Below are 20,048 nucleotides of genomic sequence, written 5' to 3'. Positions count from 1 at the left end.
GAAAATGTAGTTTGAAAACAGAACCTCAGTCCAACAGTATAAGACAGAATTTAAAAATGACTGAAGTTAACTCTGTGTATGGAAGGTTGTGGTATTAAGGACTTATCTAAGGAGTAGAAATCTGCAAAAAAACTAACTCTCTGATTCTTCTATATCTAACATTCTGCTGATTACTTTAGATAGGAGCCAGATGTTTCGTATATTATTATTTCGGTAACAGATGATTTAGATTCCAGTTGCCTAAAATTATGGCATGTGTTCAGGTTTTCTCTTGGAAGTTTGTTTGAATTATAGCAGCAAAAACATCTGTATGCACAATGTTGCATGTATGTTTCTCTGTGATGTGTATTTTGGTATCCATGCAATTACAGATGTGTATTTTGGTATATGTGTAATTGCATGCATACCAAAATACACATCACAGAGTGTGTTCATATATATATATATGAAATTGAAATCGAAATTGAAATTGAAATCAAACTTCAGTATCACTAGGAAAAATATACACATACATATATATATACTTCTTTTTTACCATTGATATTGCCATTGATATTGATATTTTATTTCAGGGTGACTTCCGGTGTCAGTTTATGGAGGAAGAAGACCATTAGACTTTTTTTTTTTTTTTTTTAGCAATAATTAAGGTTTCAATCCCTGTAAAATAACATCTTAATTTTAACTAAAACATTACAATTATCACAGAAACTACCGATTATTTTATTGCCCTGAAGAAATACAAATTACAAAGGTACTTACAAGGGATTCATGTTAAACAACATGTTGAAATATGGTTATGTTTGCAGCATTTAAAAGTTGTCCATTAAGAATATTCAATTAAAATAATCCACTTGTTTGAAGCTGTACTTAAGGACATCATTTACATTAAGCTTAGATGTACATCGTTTACAAAGAAAACATGTATAGAATATTTGTGCATACTCTATAGTAGGCAAGGGCCCATTAGAGTATAAGATCCAAGAGAAAAGAGGACTACCATATTAGCTTTAAATCTAGATTCTATATCTTTGTGGATTTTATGGCTTTCTATTCTGTTCCACTGGCTATTTAGGCTTACACCAATCAAACACTGCTTTAATCACGGTGGCTTTATAATAAGATGCAGTATTAAGTTGCAGACCAAATACATCCGATTCTATCTTAGGCATAGATACTTTAAAAACTTCTTGGTTGTTTGCACTGGACAGCCAACGATGATATTCATTCTGCTAAGAACTTTTGAGCAGTTGCCAAAATTTCTAACCGGTGCTATGGAATGTCAATGAATGGATCAAATGTGACTCATTCAGCAACATGCACTGTACTCATTAGTACCCTGAATGCAGCCTAAATGTTATTCCTTGAGGAAATCTTCATATCTGTTCATCTGATTCAACCTGATGGGTCTATAACAGTAACTACTTTCCAGTTGACGTTTTTCTGTTGAACTGATTTTTCTTTTTTCCAATTTATAATCAAGTCTTCCCTTTTTTTGATTTACTGTTAAGCAAGAATTACTCGTAAAGCAGACAAGCTATTTTCTTTAAAAACCTTTCAAAACCCCACAGCTTTAATATTTACTTGTTACAGTGTTATTATTGGACTTAAATTTAGTGGAAAATGGGCTTTTTATTAGTTCTCTGGTTTTAAACTCATAAATCCCTTTCATTAAATCTTTTTATTAAGATTTTGCCAACTCCCACAAGCATTTGATAATATTACTGTGAATGATTTGAGCTCACTGAGGTCTACTGTTGTAAAATACTTTTTAAGTATAAAATGTAGTTGAAAATAATTTTCTATTTGTACTTTAACAATAAGAGCTGAGATAATACTTGTATTCAAGTACTTACACTACATGCCACAATCTGAGTACACCCAGGTCCCTTCAAAACTTTCTCAATATTTTTAGTGTCAAAACATTTAAATACATTTAAAGCACATTAGTGGGAAATGGGCATATTAAGAAGGTAAGAAACATAGACAGTTTTTGCGAGCTACTTAACAGCTAACCTCAGACAAACGAAATGTTGGAAGGGTTTGAGTGGGTTATCCTATTCCCTTACAGGATAGTAATATTTACAGGGTACATGAGCAGAGTGTGTTTATGAGAGCACACTTCCAACGATCTGTCTGCCCCGTTTTCAGCTTTGGCTCCTCTTGCTTCAGTTGGATTGGCCCAGGCATGGCCATCAGAGGCAGACTGTTACAGGTAACTGAACAGACCAAAAAAAAAAAAAAAAAATTGACAACCACAGGGACCAAATTAGCATGGCACGGAGAGCTTGTATGTGGGAAGTAACTTGGGAAGGGGAAGGGCTGAAACAGGCAAGTAGGGAATCACCCTGCAAAGTAGGTGGATGAAGATCAGGAGTAGCGGAAATGAAATGCATCGGTGAGGCTGACAAGGCAGGCATTTCAGTTTGTCTAGTGGTAAAAATAGAATAGGTGGGTCAGGTGTGCAGCTGTTACTAATCTCCCAGAGCTGTTCTTTCAGCGCTTGGTTCTTGCAGGAAGCCTGGGGCCTACAATTTACTCAAGGGTTCTATTCTTTCAAACTACTCCAGCAGTCTGGGAGTCACCTGAGAAGTGCTTTGTTAGAATCAATAACACAAAATCTTCAGAGGCAGAGGCAGAATGAAATCAGTTCCTCAGACACTGCTCAGTGGCTTCAAGGTGGCTTTGTGGCACTCAATTGCCCTTCAGCCCTCATCATTTCCCATTGTCATGTCAATCCTAAACCCTCAGGGTGATCCCAATTCCACCTGCCAAAGGGAAGTTCTTAAGGGAGGGCTGAGTAAAACGTGAGATGTCCTGCTGTCCTGCTTAGGGACTAAGCTAATTCACTTACTGCTTACTTACTGCTCTTTGGAACTCTGAGCCTTTTCTTTACTTGGTCCCCTCATTTTGTGGTACACCTTCCTTTCTGCTCCACCTCCTAAGTCCTGCCTGTGTGAACGGGTAGACATCAATAGTGAGGATGTTGTTACAGTCCTCGTTTTGCTGAGCTGCTCTTTCATTTTAGCGTCATTTAACTTACCTTGTTTTATGTCTTTTATTTTCAACTTGATAAGCTTCCTTTATGCATATGTTATTCTTCTGCCCAGTAAGACATTTGCCAGCACAGGCACCGATCAATCACTGGCGTATTGACCTTGTTTTTTTCTAACTATTCTTATTACCACATATTGCAGTTATGTGGCTAGGTGTGTATGTATATAGTTTTATAATGTTTATTCTTCTGTAACTTAGTTTCCACCAACAAAGAATTTAGGGTGGAGTGTTTTAAGCATGATACTATGTAGATAGCACCAAATTTGTTCCCCCATGAACTGAAATTTGATATTGATGAGGCTGTATTTTAAAGTGACAGGATAAAGAACTTCCCTAAACTTCTAATATTAGTTACAAAATGTTGCATATTTTCTTTTAATTTGTTGTTGTCCTCTATCTTTCAGCACTGCAGAACACTTAATTTATCCTTCAATATTTGTGCAAGAATTATAAAATGTTGTAAAAATTGGCTAGGCCGGGCGCGGTGGCTCACGCCTGTAATCCCAGCACTTTGGGAGGCCGGGGCGGGTGGATCATGAGGTCAGGAGATCGAGACCATCCTGGCTAACAAGGTGAAACCCCGTCTCTACTAAAAATACAAAAAATTAGCCGGGCGCGGTGGCGGGCGCCTGTAGTCCCACCTACTCGGGAGGCTGAGGCAGGAGAATGGCGTGAACCCGGGAAGCGGAGCTTGCAGTGAGCTGAGATCGCGCCACTGCAGTCCGCAGTCCGGCCTGGGCGACAGAGCGAGACTCCGTCTCAAAAAAAAAAAAAAAAAAAAAAAAAAAAAAAAAAAAATTGGCTAAAGTGTTTAGAAATTTTTTAAATCACAGATTAAAGATGGCCAGAATAATATGCTTTTTTGTGTGTGTTTTCTCTTCCAGGTCAGAACTGTGGAGGCTTAGTCCAGGGTCCCAATGGCACTATTGAGAGCCCAGGGTTTCCTCACGGGTATCCGAACTATGCCAACTGCACCTGGATCATCATCACGGGCGAGCGCAATAGGATACAGTTGTCCTTCCATACCTTTGCTCTTGAAGAAGATTTTGATATTTTATCAGTTTACGATGGACAGCCTCAACAAGGGAATTTAAAAGTGAGGTAAGGTATCAACTTTTTATATTACAGTTAGCACTGTTTGAATACACAGATTATGAAATCTAGTTGGAATATTTAAATTTTATTATTGTGTCCGGAGTTGGTTCCTTCCGGTGGGTTCGTGGCCTCGCTGACTTCAAGAATGAAGCCACAGACCTTTGGGGTGAGTTTTCCAGCTCTTAAAGATGGCAGGGAAACAAAGAGTTAGTGGTAGCAAGGTTTATTGCTAAGAGCGAATAAAGTTTCCACAGCACAGCAAGGGAGACCAACCCGTTGGGCTGCTTTTGTGCCCTTATTTGTCCCCTCCCATGTTCCATTTCTGTCCTATAGGAATGCCCTTTTTTCAGTCCTCCGTGTGATTGGCTACTTTTACGATCCTGCTGATTGGTGTGTTTTATAGAGCGCTGATTGGTGCATTTTACAGAGCGCTGATTGGTGTGTTTTACAGAGTGCTGATTGGTGCATTTTACAATCCTCTTGTAAGACAGAAAAGTTCTCCAAGTCCCCACTCAATGCAAGAAGTCCAGCTGGCTTCACCCCTCATTACCAGAAAAGAAAAATACAGTTACTATACAGAAAACTTGAAGTCTATCAACTTGTGGCAAATTGTGCATACTTTTTCTATACTTAAAAATTTAACTTTTTATTGAAAGTTATCACTGACTTTGTTTATAGATATATTGTTCAAGATCTGTGAAACAGAGTTGTCAAGGTAATTTAAATAAAATTATAATACACCATTGTTTTTAAGCAACTGTGAGTTTGAGAGAAAAAGAACAAAGATAAATTCTTGAGTACAATTCAGCTAATCAGAACAAAATGAACCCTTATGTTGTCAGAGAATATATTCAGTGAAAGGAACATAGGAGGTGGGTGAGGGAACAACATTCAGGGCTATTGCATTCTTTGGAGAATTTGTGGTTTAGACAATAATGGTACAATCTATTCGTAATTTGTTTTCTCTTTTGATCTATAGTTTTTACAATGAAGAAAGCAAAACATTTCCTGGTATCATTTTTAAATTATATTTTTTCAATTGTCAACAAGAAAAAATTATACCTGTACGTCTGTATCTACTTTTTGTTTTCAATTTGGCAAAGGAAGAAGGAATATCCCTTCCAAAGAAATCAGATTTTCCTAACAAAATTAACTTATATAGATTACTGATGTTAATGCCAACAGTAATACACACAAGAATCATATGCTTCATTTATTATTTTATGGGATGAGAAAAAAATCTCTACAGAAAACACAATTTTATGTGTACATCTAGTTTATAATATGTCAATATATGCTACATAACTAATAGGTTAAATATAAAATATATTCATTAATATATTTTCAAATATATTTTATTTGCATTTTTTCACCCACTTTCAAACACCTAGTTTTTTTTCTGAGTCATCTACAATATCTATTATCTGTTTTTAGTAGCATGTTTACCTTTCATACATAGTAGAATGGCCGTCTCTTTTCTGAAACAGGTAAGCTTTCCTCTGTCCTTTTATTACATTTATGGTCTTATGTGTTAGTATTTGAACAAAGTATCTACATATACAATACTTGCTAATTTGATGTAGGCTTTCTTAAATAATTTATGCTCTTTAAAAGCCAGTTACTTTTTTTGTTGTCAATTATCAACGCTACTAGGGTATAGTAGTGTATTATAATGGTAATAAAAACTGCAGAGTTACAGAAAAAAGAATTAGACAATCCATTTTATTCAAATGCCAATGTGTGTGACTCTACGTTAAAATTATGACTTTACCTTTCCATTAAAAAATGCTTGTTAAAAATATGCTCTCTTAAAAATGTTTCCATTTTCTTTCTCTCAATATTTTTATTTACTCTAGTTCTTTCATATATAGAAAACCTGTCTTAATTTGACTGACAGGTATGTCTTTCAATAATGTATTATCTCTTATGGTCTTATGGTACTATTATGATCATTTTATATTAATAAATATAAAACAACATTCTTACCATCTTCAATATTATAACAGGATCGACAGCGGAAATATTAAGTTAGAACAATTAGAAACATATTTCATTTTGGAGTTTGAGTGAACAGTAAATAAATTGATACCTGTGCCTCAGAGAGCTTTATTGTGAGTTGTATGTACAACAGAATGTTTTTTTCTTTTACTTGCTGGGTTATGTTTAGTACAGGAAGCAAGGGAGGTTGATAAGAAAGAGCCTACTTAGGTTCATATGAATCACTCAGTTACCGACAATTTTTTGTTTGAAATAGAGAAAAATATGTCATATTTCTACTTGTTTATTGTCCTTAGAGTTAGGATGTTGCTTTCATCTTGATATTCCATTTTATATTTCTTCCTCCTATCCGCATACGTAGAATGCCATTTTGAGGAGACGTTCGAGGAGTGCAGAGTGATTTCTTTGGGAACCGTTTAGAGTACTGTAATACAAATCGGAAAAACGCCCAATGACTACTGAGTGTTACAGGTCTCTACTATTACAAAAGGTGAAATAAATAGAGATGTGAAATTGGAATGGGTGTGTTGTCAGGGAAAACACATGAGGAGGTGTTTTCTCTTTCAACATTCAGGATGAGTTGATGGGGAAAGTAGTTATAAATAGTAGCAAATTCTAATTAATCGGGAAAGGGAGCACTCTAATGCTATTCGTTTCCCATTATGCCTTGAAACAGTTGTTTATTTCTCAAACGCAATTAAGTAGCAACCCTTAAGGCAGCTCTAGAATTCAAAGGACGGATTCTTTTGTGGGAGGATTGATGTAGGAGCTGCTGATAACTGAGATGTCACAAAAGTTATTGCTTAGAGCTGTCTTGGTGTGTTGTTGTTTTATTGTTGCACAAAAGCTATTTTTAGAAGTTTAAAATGTGCATTAACTGAAATACCAAAACAGTTTTTCTGTTAAACAACTTGAGCATTTTTAGTATCAATAAATTTCTTTCACATAACCACTGTAATATTTTTTTTCGAAATAAACTTAAGAGGCAGATTTAATCCCCAGCTGACAAAACAGAATATATACTTTAGAATTATTGATGCTTACCTTGTAACTGGAACTTTAGTCAGAAATATAGTATTATTTACATATGTAAAAACATTTAGAGTTAAAAAATTAATATATCCTTTATATTATCATCTTGGATTATTTCTTTAGTACAAACACACCAACAATACATATATGATTTGGGCACCCATCAATAAACTAAATTTTAATGATGTGGATATTGAGAGCTGAAATGAGACCTCTCTTGGTAAGCACAGGGAAGAAATTTGGACTCAAAATTCAAAATGAAAAATCTGATCTTTGTGTTATTTAGAATTAAAGCATCTCTTCATTGTTTTTTTTTTTTTTAATGACCTGTCAGGTGGTTGCTGTTTTAAACAGCTGAACTTTATTGACTCTGCATTTCCTCTTGCTTCCCAGTCTCCAGTAAGGTCCAACCATGCAGTCACCAAATCCCAAAATGCTTATTTTTTAACATGTCTTGGGCTAAGCATGGTGGCTCATGCCTGTAATCCCAGCAATTTGGGAGGCTAAGGCGGGTGGATCACCTGAGGTCAGGAGTTTGAGACCATCCTTGGCCAATATGATGAAACCCCGTCTCCACTAAAAGTACAAAAAAAATTAGCTGGACATGGTGGCAGGCATCTGTAAGTCCAGCTACTCGGGAGGCTGAGGCAGGAGAATCACTTGAACCTGGGAAATGGAGGTTGCAGTGAGTGCAGATCATGCCACTGCACTCCAGCCTGGGTGACAGAGGTAGACTTCATCTCAAACAAAACAAAAGAAAAAGGAAGTAGGCCTGGCATGGCGGCTCTTACCTGTAATCCCAGCACTTTGGGAGGCCGAGGCAGTTGGATCACGAGGTCAGTAGATCGAGACCATCCTGGCTAACACGGTGAAACCCCATCTCTACTAAAAATACAAAAAAAAATTAGCTGGGCGTGGTGGTGGGCGCCTGTAGTCCCAGCTACTAGGGAGGGTGAGGCAGGAGACTGGTGTGAACTGGGGAGGCGGAGCTTTCAGTGAGCCGAGATCGCACCACTGCACTCCAGCCTGGGGGACAGACTGAAACTCCATCAAAAAAAAACAAAGAAACAAACGAACACATAAAAAAACACCTTTCCATTAACCACAGCCTGTTTTTGATCCTAATAGTAAATGTTCCTACGAAGGCTCCTGTCCTGGCACAGGCTGTCCTGAGCGTTCACATAGACCAATGCACGATCCTTTCCTGCCCCAGGCTCCCCTCTCGGGAACACTGACACATCTGCTGCTGTCCTAGCCCTGGCTTCTATCTCCGGCAACATAAACAGTTCTAGTACCCATGACCCTGAAATTCAAGAAAGTCCATGATCGGACTCCAAACTGCATTCTGTCCTTCAGTCCCTCCCGTTTGTCCCCTGAAAAGTATCCTTGTTCAGTTGCACAGATCTGTGGGTTACTCCTTGACCTGACCTTACAAGAGAATGTTGTCCTCTTATTCCCGGCCTCTCCCTCTACCGGTCTGAATAGTATGCGTCTTTCAAAACGCAGTGCACATTATATTTATTTCAGGAAATCTTCCCTAGGCATTCCAAACAACAACCCACGTACATTTTCTTTGTGTGCATGAACTCCTGTAACACTGGCCACCTACTGCAATTGGAAGCCTGTACTCCTTTGAACTCACACCTGCCCTGAAGTTACCTCGCAATGGGGCTCGGGGCTTGTATATCTTTGTACATTCAGATGTCTAATAGAACATAATCCTCTGAGGCTAAGAAATGTGCCCTGAATGTGTCTTCTCCTGTGATTACCAACGTCTTGAGTTTTTCCCTGCTCCCCCTACCCCCATGATGGAGTTTTGCTCTTGTCACCCAGGCTGGAGTGCAATGGTACTATATTGGCTCACTGCAATCTCCTCCTCTCCGGTTTAAGCAATTCTGCTGTCTCAGCCTCCTGAGTAACTGGGATTACAGGGTGCACCACCACACCTGGCTAATTTTTTTATTTTTAGTAGAGACGGGGTTTCACCATGTTGGCCAGGCTGGTCTAGAACTCCTGACCTCAGGTGATCTGCCCACCTCGGCCTCCCAAAGTGCTGGAAGATATGTTGACTTTCACATCGTCAATAAGTGTTCGTGGGGCAATTTTGAATTACATTATTCCTGATTCAGGGCAACTCATCCCTGCCACTGTGCACGGAACCCAACGTGACTTAATGTAACTCTCTCCTAAATGAATGTGAGTCAACCATCCCATGTGGTGACTGATAATTGGTACATGTTTTCTAAATTTGAAGTTTTATTTACTTGTCCCAAATCAGAAACAATTGACGTTGACATCTATTTCCAACTGTGATAAAATTATTATATCAAAGGTCTAAGAGAAACTCCTTAGAAAGTCAGAAAGTGAATAAAGGCGAATCTATGAAGGGAGATTTTACCACTCAATATAGAAAATCAGGATATATTAATTCATGATTATTGTAAAATACAAGGCCTAGGGAAATAGCTTTGGCATTTATCTCGAGTTCGTCGGTCTTTCTAACTTTAACAAGATTACCCCTAATTTTCTGCAATGCTGATAATGAAGAGGTTAGAGGTGAATGTGATAGGGCCATTAAAATCAGAAAATCATGAATAAGTGTTGTTAAAATAGAATAGGTTTTCCAGTTTTCTTAAACAGTAATAATGCTTTTGAATGCATTAAATATTTTTAAAAACAGTTTTATTGTGGATAGTTAGGTTACACACCATGACAAAACCTACCTAACATAAAATATATCTGGTGATATTTAGAACTTATAGACATATGAGGGCTAAAGAAAGGGTCTCAATTACATTAGGATCATATTAGACTAGAGACCTAGCATTGCCTAAATTCTGCTTTTCTGTCTCCATAGTTGCTACAAGGTCCTAAGGGAGCCATTCACAGATCAATGGACTGATTAAAAAAAAAAAAAAACAAACCAAGGTATCATTTTATTTTATTTTATTGTCTTGAGACTGAATCTTGCCCTGTCTCCCAGGCTGGAGCGTGGTGGCAGGATCTCAGCTCACTGCAACCTCTGCCTCCCAGGTTCCAGCGATTCTCCTGCCTCAGCCTCCCAAGTAGCTGGGACTACAGGCACATGCCACCACTCCTGGCTAATTTTTGTATTTTTTAATAGAGACAGGGTTTCACCATATTGGCCAGGCTGGTCTAGAACTCCTGACCTCGTGATCCACCCGCCTCGGCCTCCCAAAGTGCTGGGATTACAGGTGTGAGCCACCGCACCTGGCCTTCATTTTATTTTTAGCTTGGCTAGTGAGTGATGTCTGGTTAAGATTGATAATCAGAGGGTGAAGCCACTGTCAAAGCTTTTATAGGGACACCAGCCTCATATGAACACCACACATGTTTTGACTTCTTATTGATGGCACTGGGGCAGCCGTGCAGTCAGGACTGGGACAGTGACCAGCAAATATGACCAGCACAGGGTGAGGGAGGATCCCAGAACCAGGGCCTGGATAGTTCCAGGGAAGTAGCAGTGGAAGAGCTTGTCACACAGAGGTGACTTCTTAACTGGAGCACAGATGACACATCACAGAAACCCATCAATGCTTAGAAACCTGGTTCAACAGGTTATTGTACCTTAGTGAGGGCACCAGAGGTGGACAGCAGAGGTGTTTGGTCCACTCAGATAAACCTATAATGTTCCCATAATTAGGTGATTTTGTCACTATTCTACCTACAGATTTTAGGATGATGAAATAAAATGTAATTTTCCTCAATGTATCTTTCAAATTGCTCTTGTCAACATATGCTTTAAATTAGTGACCCCTAGGTAAGCTCAATCATTACTGGTTAAGTTTGAGTATTTTTGTTTTTGTTTTTTGTTTGTTTTTCGTTTTTGTTTTGTTTTGTTTTTGAGTATTTGCAGTTGTCTAGAGAGAAGGAGAAGACCAATTAATTCAGAGATTCAAGGGTGAGATTGGGCTCTCATCATGGTTATACCTAATTCTCTCCTTCCCTAAGTGATATTATTATGCAGCCTTAGTTGACAACAACTGTGAGAGTGTGTGTGTGTGTGTGTGTGTGTGTGTGTGTGTGTGTGTATTTGCTGTGTGCTTATTTGTTAAGAAAAAGGATAAAATGACTAGTAATTAGAAATTCTGTGATAAAATAAGAAAACATGTAAGAGAGATAATAATTATGTTTGCAATACTATGAGGAAGTTTTGACAGGCATGTGAATTCAGACAACTACCTCCTCATGCTGTGGTGGTGTGTTTTGCGGTAGCTAAAAACGGATGGTTCACTTCCATATCTTGGCTTTTTTTAAAAAGCAGCAAAACCATACTAATATGGGCAGAGAAGTATTTTAGGCATTTGTAAATACAGGTGTGTGGAAAAGTATTCAAATATTGCGGTTGGCTAGAGAGAAGGAGCTTCCTGGGATATTCCTCTTAGAAAGTTAAAGCCTAAGGAAAAGCATTCAGATTTACACAAAGGGAACAGAAGAACAAGCAGACAGCCACATAGTTTGCAACATGACACTATTATTAGCAGACAAAGATATCTTCTTGATTTGGTCATGAAAATCTGAATGTTGACACTGTTTTATACAATAGTAAATCTAGTCTTTGCTGTTTGTAGCAAAATAAATATGTTAGATCACCAATGTAAATATTAATATGGAAAATAAAAATGATAAATATTGTCTAAGTGTCTTTCTAGGCAGGACACGTAATTTAGAAATCACATATAAAACTGAATGAAAAATTGGACTTCCTAAAACTTAACATTCAAAAGGCAAACGACAAGTTAAAATATTTCTAATAAGTATGAAAGACAAAGAATTGTTTCTCTTAATTTGTAAGATGCACTTCTAGAGCTACAAGAAAATTTTAAATAATCCTTCAATTGAAAAGCAGGTAAAATATACGTAAGGAGTCCAAATACAATACATTTGTGCCAGTAAGTATATTCGAACCAAGTTAAAACAATGCAGTATGATAGCTCGCCATTCTGAATGGGCATACCTTCACATTTTAGTAACAGCGTTTTTGAGGATATTGAAAACATGTTTTCATGTCTATTGGTAGGATATTAAATTGCTGCAACATTTTTGTATAGATATTTTGAAATTTTTCTCAAAATAAAGTACAAACTTTTCATTCAGAAATTCTAGCTAAGAATGTATTCTACAAATATGCATTCAAATATGACAAAATAAATGTAAAGGAATGCTTTTTGTTTCATTTTGATAATGTTTGAAAATTCAAACATGTCTAAGTATATAAATGTAGACTATCAATAACTCTCACTAGTTAAGTAAATTATATTAGCTCTACAATACAAATTACCATTAAAAACAATGACATTTTATTTGCGGATCTGAGAAGATCTCTCACATATATGTTTCATTTAAGAATAAACACAGTATCAGAGTGTCCATTTTCTTCCAAGGTTTTATTCTCTTTTAATAAAAGGCGTGTAAAAACTCATAATAAAACACCATCAACGAATTTCTAGATGATGGTGGGAGCTCAGAGATTCCTGATCTAGATATAATTTTAACAGGTTGTAGTGATTTCAGTAGAGGCTGTGGGAAGCTCCTCCAAGGGTATCTAACTCACCTGAGGGCTCTTAGATGGCTTCCCATGAGTCAGTGTAATTTTAACCAAGGTAAAAATACTGCCTTCATCCAGAAACAGTAGGCCATTTTAGTGTCCCTGGCAGGGCATGTGTGAGGAGAGCATTTTTTTTAACATTTTCTTTTTCCTGTGTGTGTTCTCTGTCCTTGAAATTCTTACACTGAATTACATCTGTGTTTATGCTTATCCTATGTCTCTTTCTCTCTCTGTATAGTTTTATGTGTGTGTATATACTGATACTGTGTGTATATATACATATACATATATATGTATATGTGTATATATGTGTATATGTGTATATATATGTATATATATGTGTATATATATGTGTATATATATGTGTGTATATATACACACACACATACATAGAAGTATATATATATGAGTGAAAAATTGGACTTCCTAAAACTTAATACTCAAAAGGCAAATGACAAATTAAGTTAAAATATTTACAAGAGGTATGAAAGACCAAGAATTAGTTTCCTTCATTTATAAGATGCACTTTTAGAACTACAAGAAAATGTTAACATAGAACTGCAAGAAAAATTTTAAAAATCATTCAGTTGAAATTTGATACTGTGTACATATATATATATATATACACACACACAGAAGTATATATATGGTATATAATATATGTGTATGTATATGCTTCTATCAGCCTTTCTCCACTGGGGGTGATTTTTTTGTCCCAGGGAACAGTGGCAGTATCTAGAGACATTTTTTTTTAATTGTCACAGTGGGGAGATAGTTGCTCTTAGAATCTGACAGGTATAATCTAGAGATGCTGATCATCGTCCTGCAGTGGACAGGATATCTCACATGACAAAGAAGTGTCTGCCATACAGTATCAGAAATGCCAAGGGTGAAAACCTTTGATTTATAGCAATATCTAGAATTGTCTGTACTATTCCTATACTATTCATATGTCTGCCTACATTATTTTTCTGTTCAAGGCCGAAGCTTAAAGAGGTTAGCTGGAACTGGCTGAGGGGAGCAACTGTTATTTTTTTGGCGGGGCAGAGGCAGCCAGCAGAGGCTGGGGCATCCCGGAGCAGCTGGAGTGACCAGGAATGGGAGGTGATGTTGGGCATCGTGTCAGGAAGGAAGTGAGTTTTCCACAGTAGTAGACATAATCAAATTTCATGAAGAAATCACTTTAGTAATTATTTTACATTGTCTTTCAAAAGGAAATGAAATAGTTATTTTATTTAATACCTTCTGAGAAAAGAAAGTGTCAAGAATCAGTAAAATTGTTAATTTACTTCTATTCTTTTTTCTTCAGGTATCAAATCCACAGAAGTAGTTTGTTGAAATAGTTTAGTGGGAAACCATCCATATTAATATGCAATAAAGAGCTATAAATAGTTTCCCAGATTTTTCAGGATTTTAAATGAGCTTTATGTGGATGATCAAGTTTGAAGCTGAGTGACTTTTTTCTGTTTAAGATTTACTTTTTCTTCTTTCCCCCATCCTGCCCATTTCAAGTGACTGGACAGCAAAGTCTGTTGCTGATTTATCCTTTCAACCTCTAAGAGTAGCTAAACATTCAGAATAAACAAGTGAGTTTTCATCGCATAATATTAGTTGAAATATTGAAATGTATAGTTGTTTACTGAATAAGTTCAAAGGGAATGAATGCTATATACAAAATATGTGAGTTATTCACTTTTAATTCCCAAAATTTAAAAAAGGAATATAATATTACTTAGAGTATGAAGCAATTACTTGCTTTACCACAATAAATACACTCACCTACTTACGTATCCCTTTGCAGAGAAATCTGATGCACTTTGTTTATATTTGAATGTACTAAAAATAATAAAGAATCGAAAAGGCAAGTATTTCACTTGATTTTCTTCTTGCTTATATCGTTCTTGCTTATGTCTTAGAACCTGGAGTATTAACTAGAACAGAATTCAGAACTCTGCACAGGGCTTCAGGTTTTCAGATCTAAGTGAATAAAGCCTTCATATATTTTCTTTGGGGCATCCTTGAACTGAAGGGTAGGTCAGGATGGGGAGACGTCTTTGCAAGAGGTGGAGTGAAGCCCACTGCAGAGCTCTTCCTCAGAATCAAGCTGGCGCCCTGCCCTCCCACACCCTGCCCCCTGCGGTCCTGACCCTGACTGGATTTCCTTGGCTCCATGCCCTGAGTCTAGCTCTTGTTGATCTCCTTCTTACAACCGCTTTAAGATCAGATAACTTTCTCTCAACGTGATTTTCAGCACAACTTCCCAAGCTCAAATGTTGCACCCATCTCACACTAAACCCTCAAACAGAAGGTTCAGAGTTACTACTATTGTTGGACTACTACTTCCTTCCACATACTTTATAACCAATATCTGTTACTTTTTCCTTTAGAAATCAGTAGCATTAAAAAAAAAGGTGTGGCTGGCTCCCAGCTTCAAGGCACAGCCCCCCGCAATGAACAGGCTGTATGTTCAATTTGAGAGAATCAGAGAGGAAGCAGAAATAACACAAGGGATTGCTTCATGCAGGCTGTGTCCTCTCAGCCAAAAGAGGAAAACTGAGCTAAAGAAAACCTTGGCCTGCTGAAAACTTCCTAAAATAGCTTTGTAAAGGAGATAGTGTCTCTGTTTCTCATGGTCTATACATGAATCTTTCATGGCAGTTTTTCTCCAATTGTAATGTCAGTTCTTACAAGTCCGTGATAGTCCCATCAAAAATATATCAAGGTTGGCCAAGCATGGTGACTCATGCCTATAATCCCAGCACTTTGGGAGACCAAGGCGGGCAGATCACTAGAGGTCAGGAGTTCGAGACCAGCCTGGCCAACATGGTGAAACCCCGTCTCTACCAAAAATACAACAATTAGCCAGGCGTGGGGGTGTGTACCTGTAGTCCCTGCTACTCGGGAGGCTCAGGTATGAGAATAGCTTGAACTTGGGAGGCAGAGATTGGAATGAGCTGAGATCATACCACGGCACTCCAACCTGGGCGACAGAACCAGACTCTTTCTCAAATATATATATACACCAAGCCTGTCTTGAATATGTTACGGATACGATAATCATTATATTTGCTTGCTTAGGTTTAGGGGTTTTCACATTTTTTTTTAGATTAAATATTTCTAAAATGTAAATGCACGGGATATGTTGTGACTTTGTATTTGCTCGTGTATACAGGAGAGCCAGGGGAGGCAGGGAAGTCCTACTTTGGACTAGAGATGGTTCAGGTAGGGAGGAAGTGGAACATATGTGCTTTACAAAGGTGGATTCATTCAGAGTATTTACGATGATTGTGCTCATAAATGTAGACTCATTAAAATAAGGCACTCTCAAAGAGGCGACTGCTTCAAAATGCAGTGCATGTTTCTTACATGGGGAAGTTGAAAGGATCATTTACATTTTGCACTGAAACTTGACCCTCTATTGAGACTTTTTAAGACATCCTCAACTTCCATCACTCTTTTCAGCTATGTCCAGTAAAGGAAAATTAACTGGCGTTCCAAGCAGGTGACTTGTGCTTAAACAGTGGAAGGTGAGAACGTGCTGTGTAGACGAGGTTGCCTGTGGGTCTCTGTATCTCCCCGTACGAGATTCCCGTCCTCGTATTTTCCCTGGTATGGTCATGTCATAGTTCTCTTGTCATCTGTGGCACCCTAGTTTGACCCATCCAATTAAGGAACACTTTGTTTTAAAATGTGACTGTCATTCTTCCCGGTTTCTCATGATCTCTATGGTATAAGCGGCAAGCACGCTGAATAAAGAATAAGGTGATGATAAACTCATCCATTCAAAGAGTTATGTTATGAAAACTGCTGTTCTCTACCAGGAGCACACTTTAATTTTAAAAAAGAATGCCAGTGCCTTCTCTGCCCACCACCCCGAATGGAAACGAATGTAATTTGAAAGGCTAAGGTGGGTGTGATGTGGACTCTGAGGTCTGTGTGGGTCACTTTCTGGACTTGACTAGGGTCACAAACTTGAATACCCTCAGGAGTCAGGCAGAGAGTGTGAATCAGCGAAACAGAGCAGGTGTCAGATCATAGAAAAATACATTCTTGTGAGCTTGAGAATTATATCCCGTGTAAACAGAGCAGCTGCTGCTGGGCACCGACCCACCGTTGCCAGGCAAAAATGTGAGGCGTGTCCAATGTCGTGGATCTTCCATTGTTCATCAGCAGCAAAGAATCTTCAATATGTGAAATCCCCTCCGGTTTAAATTCCAGTGCAGGCCAAAGGCAATGCACCTGTGTAGCAGCGCTTGCAACCTCTGATGTAGAAGGTGATTGACAACTGCAGCCTTGTCAGTGCCATATGCTGGTAATTCCAGAGAGGATTGGGAAAGGCATCCAAAGAAGTTGACCCCAAAACTGGTTGAGTCTTTCTAGATTTCGGTTACTTTCTTTTGATAATGGAGAGATTTGACAAGAGCTCGAAGAATTCTTCTGCAATAGACTAGCTAACCCTTTCCCTACTATAGCTTGTGTTGCAATGGTATGGTTTGATCTACCGGAAGTGTACTTGCACGTTATCAGGGGCTTTAGACAAATAGAGGTCATCTCATTCTTGGAACAGTAGTTGATTTGCCAAGTTTTACTGCAAACCTGCTATTTTGGTTTCCTAAATTAGAATTTTGGTATACAGAGAGCCCAGTTTACCTTGGATACATAATAGATTTCTTTACGCAAGAGCTAGAGATAGTCATTTTGAATACTAGCTTGATGAATGAGTCCTTTAGTTACAATTATTCACATTTAAAGGTATATTTAGTAACCAATAAAGTGCAGATATTGAAAATTTTAAATTGGATGAGATTTATATACAACCGTGGAACACCACCACCATCAAGCTAACGAATATTTCTATCACCCACAAAACTTTTCTTGTGACCCCGGTCATCCATCCTGTGTTCTAAGTTTTGTTGCCAGCACACCACTGAACTGTTTTCTGTCACTATGAATTAGTTTGCTTTTTTGAAATATTATATATGCCAAATTATATGAAATATATATATACACACACACATCTGTATATGCCTAACTTCTTTCACTCAGAATAATGATTTTGAGGTCCATCCACATTTCTTCATATAAAAATGGTACATTTTTTATGGTTAAGCAGAATTCCAATATACAGCTATGCCACATTTAGTTTATCACTCTAATAGACATTTGTTCCCCCCTCACCCCCCTGTTTTTAGCTATTAGAAATAAAGCTCCTTTGATTATTTGCATAAAAGTCTTTGTGGGGAAAATAGTTTAATTACTGTGGTCAAACATTCAAGAGTGGAATGGGTGGGTAGTATGTTTTATGTTAAACTTTTGAAGAAGTGGCTAAAATGTTTTCTAATCTGGTAGTCCCATTTTAAATTCCCACCTGAGGGATGAATTTTAGTTGTTGTATGTTTTTGCTATATTTAGTGTACTCAGCCTTTTTAGTTTTCGTCATTGTAATGAGTGTAGAGTGTTATTTTACGGTGATGTGAATTTGCATTTCCCTGATGACCAATAATATTAGTATTTTATGTGCTTATTGATCATTCAGATATCTTCCTTGGTGAAGTATCTGTTAAAATATTTTGCGCATCTTCACTGCAACTTTTGTCTTCCCTTTGAGTTATCAGAGCTTTCTAAATATTCCAGATTCGAGTTCTTTGACTGAAATATGTATTATAGGTAATTCCTTCCACCAACATTTATCCTTTTAATGGTATATATTTAACAACATTTTTTAGTCTTAAAAAAGTCTAATTTATGTTTTTTCTTTTGTGTTTCCTGATTTCATGTGACATATAAAAAACTTTGAATTTAACTGATTTTTAAAATATTAATCTGTATTCCGTGACCTTCCTAAATTCAATTAATTTTAGTAGTTGTTTTAAAGATTCCATGAGAAATTTTTATGGAGGCAACCATGTCATCTGCAAAGAGAGGCAGCTCAACTTTCCCTTTTGTGCCTTCTTCTTTTGGGTGCTGTATTGAAATGCCCAGCTCCTTCAGTACAATGTTGCACGGAAGTGGTAAAAGTGAGGAACACAGGCACAGGTGGGATGTAATGAATTCTGTCATCATCATCCACAATGTCTTTTGTACCAGTTATTAGCATATTGCCCTTCATTTCCAAACCTGCTCTTCTTTCCTCTGCTTTGTAATTCCGAAACCAAACCTTGTACACATGTCGCGTTTGCCAGCTGCCACTATGTTAAGCTTTCTCAGTAGAGGGTGCTGCATGGACACAGCAGGAGGAAGAGACATTCTTACTAATTTCTGCTTCTGATTATGTGCCAGTCAGCATTGTGCAGGGTATCCAGTGACAATCATCTCCATAGTTTTGCTGTCACCCCATCGGGTAGCTCGCCAGAAGGTCCCACAGACATTAGCTGGCACTCGTGCTGGACTGTGTGGAGTGTTGAGCCTCAGCATGCATTTTTGCTGCCCGGTGGGCCACTAAATCCTCCCTCCTCAGCCAGCTCTGAATCTCAGCCAGGCAAGTATCCTCTTTTGCCTTTTTCTTCTTTGAGTACTCTGCCTGAGCCTCCAGGTAATGTCAGGTCAATATGTCTGCCATTCTTTTTTTTTTTTTTTAATTCTCTTTACCCCTCTTTGCGTTTAATCTTCTATAAATTAATCGTTCTTCATACTGAATTTCCCTGATGAGAGATTTTGTCTCCTGCCTAGAACTGCACTAATATGTTGCTTGTAGATTTTTCACAAATGTTCTTTATCTGCTTGAGAAAGTTTCCTATCATTAGTAGTTTGCTGAGGGTTTTATTATGAATAAGTATGTAATTTTTTCATATGATTTTGGCATCAATTAAAATGGTAGTATTTTTGCCTTTTTTTCTGTTTATATGTTCAATTACATTGAATTAGTTTTGTGAAATTTTAATCCAACTTCTCATTCCAGAGTACAGCCTACTTGGTCGTAAGGTACACTAGATTTTTCAAATATATTATTGGGTTTGACTTACAGTAGTTCATTTAAAATATTTGTGTCTGTATACATGAGGGGCTTTTGTCTGTAATTCCCTTTTTTGTAGCCTTTTTAAGATTTCACTGTACAGGAGACGGTAAATTATTAAAAAAATGAGCAGAACTGTTTTCTCCTCTGTTTCTAAAACTGTGTAATTTTGATGTGATTTCTAGATAAAATTTAAGACAGAAAAATCTGCTCCTGGAGTTTTCTTTTAGAAATCTTAAATAAAAAATTCAATGTATATTCTAGATTTAGGGCTGTATAGATTGTCTCTTTCTTCTGGTGTCAATTTTGGTGAATTATGTTTTTCAAGATATCCACTTGATCTCTGCT

The 20,048-nt window shown here is 37.4% G+C and overlaps 1 protein-coding gene across 3 annotated transcripts in view; it reads left to right on the top strand.

The window, feature by feature from the left end:
- The window catches only part of CSMD1 (CUB and Sushi multiple domains 1), a 2,059,554-nt gene that overhangs the window by 353,418 nt on the left and 1,686,088 nt on the right, over window positions 1–20,048 (top strand). For all 3 annotated transcript variants that reach the window (XM_011534752.3, NM_033225.6, XM_017013731.2), the window contains exon 2: window positions 3,939–4,155. In XM_011534752.3, the coding sequence (XP_011533054.1) occupies window positions 3,939–4,155 (217 nt within the window). The remainder of the gene's footprint in view (window positions 1–3,938; window positions 4,156–20,048) is intronic.

Source organism: Homo sapiens, chromosome 8, assembly GCF_000001405.40.
Source record: "Homo sapiens chromosome 8, GRCh38.p14 Primary Assembly".
NCBI classification, from domain to species: domain Eukaryota; kingdom Metazoa; phylum Chordata; class Mammalia; order Primates; family Hominidae; genus Homo; species Homo sapiens.
The sequence above is the reverse complement of the archived record's forward strand: the minus strand, read 5'-3'. Positions and strand labels throughout refer to the sequence as shown.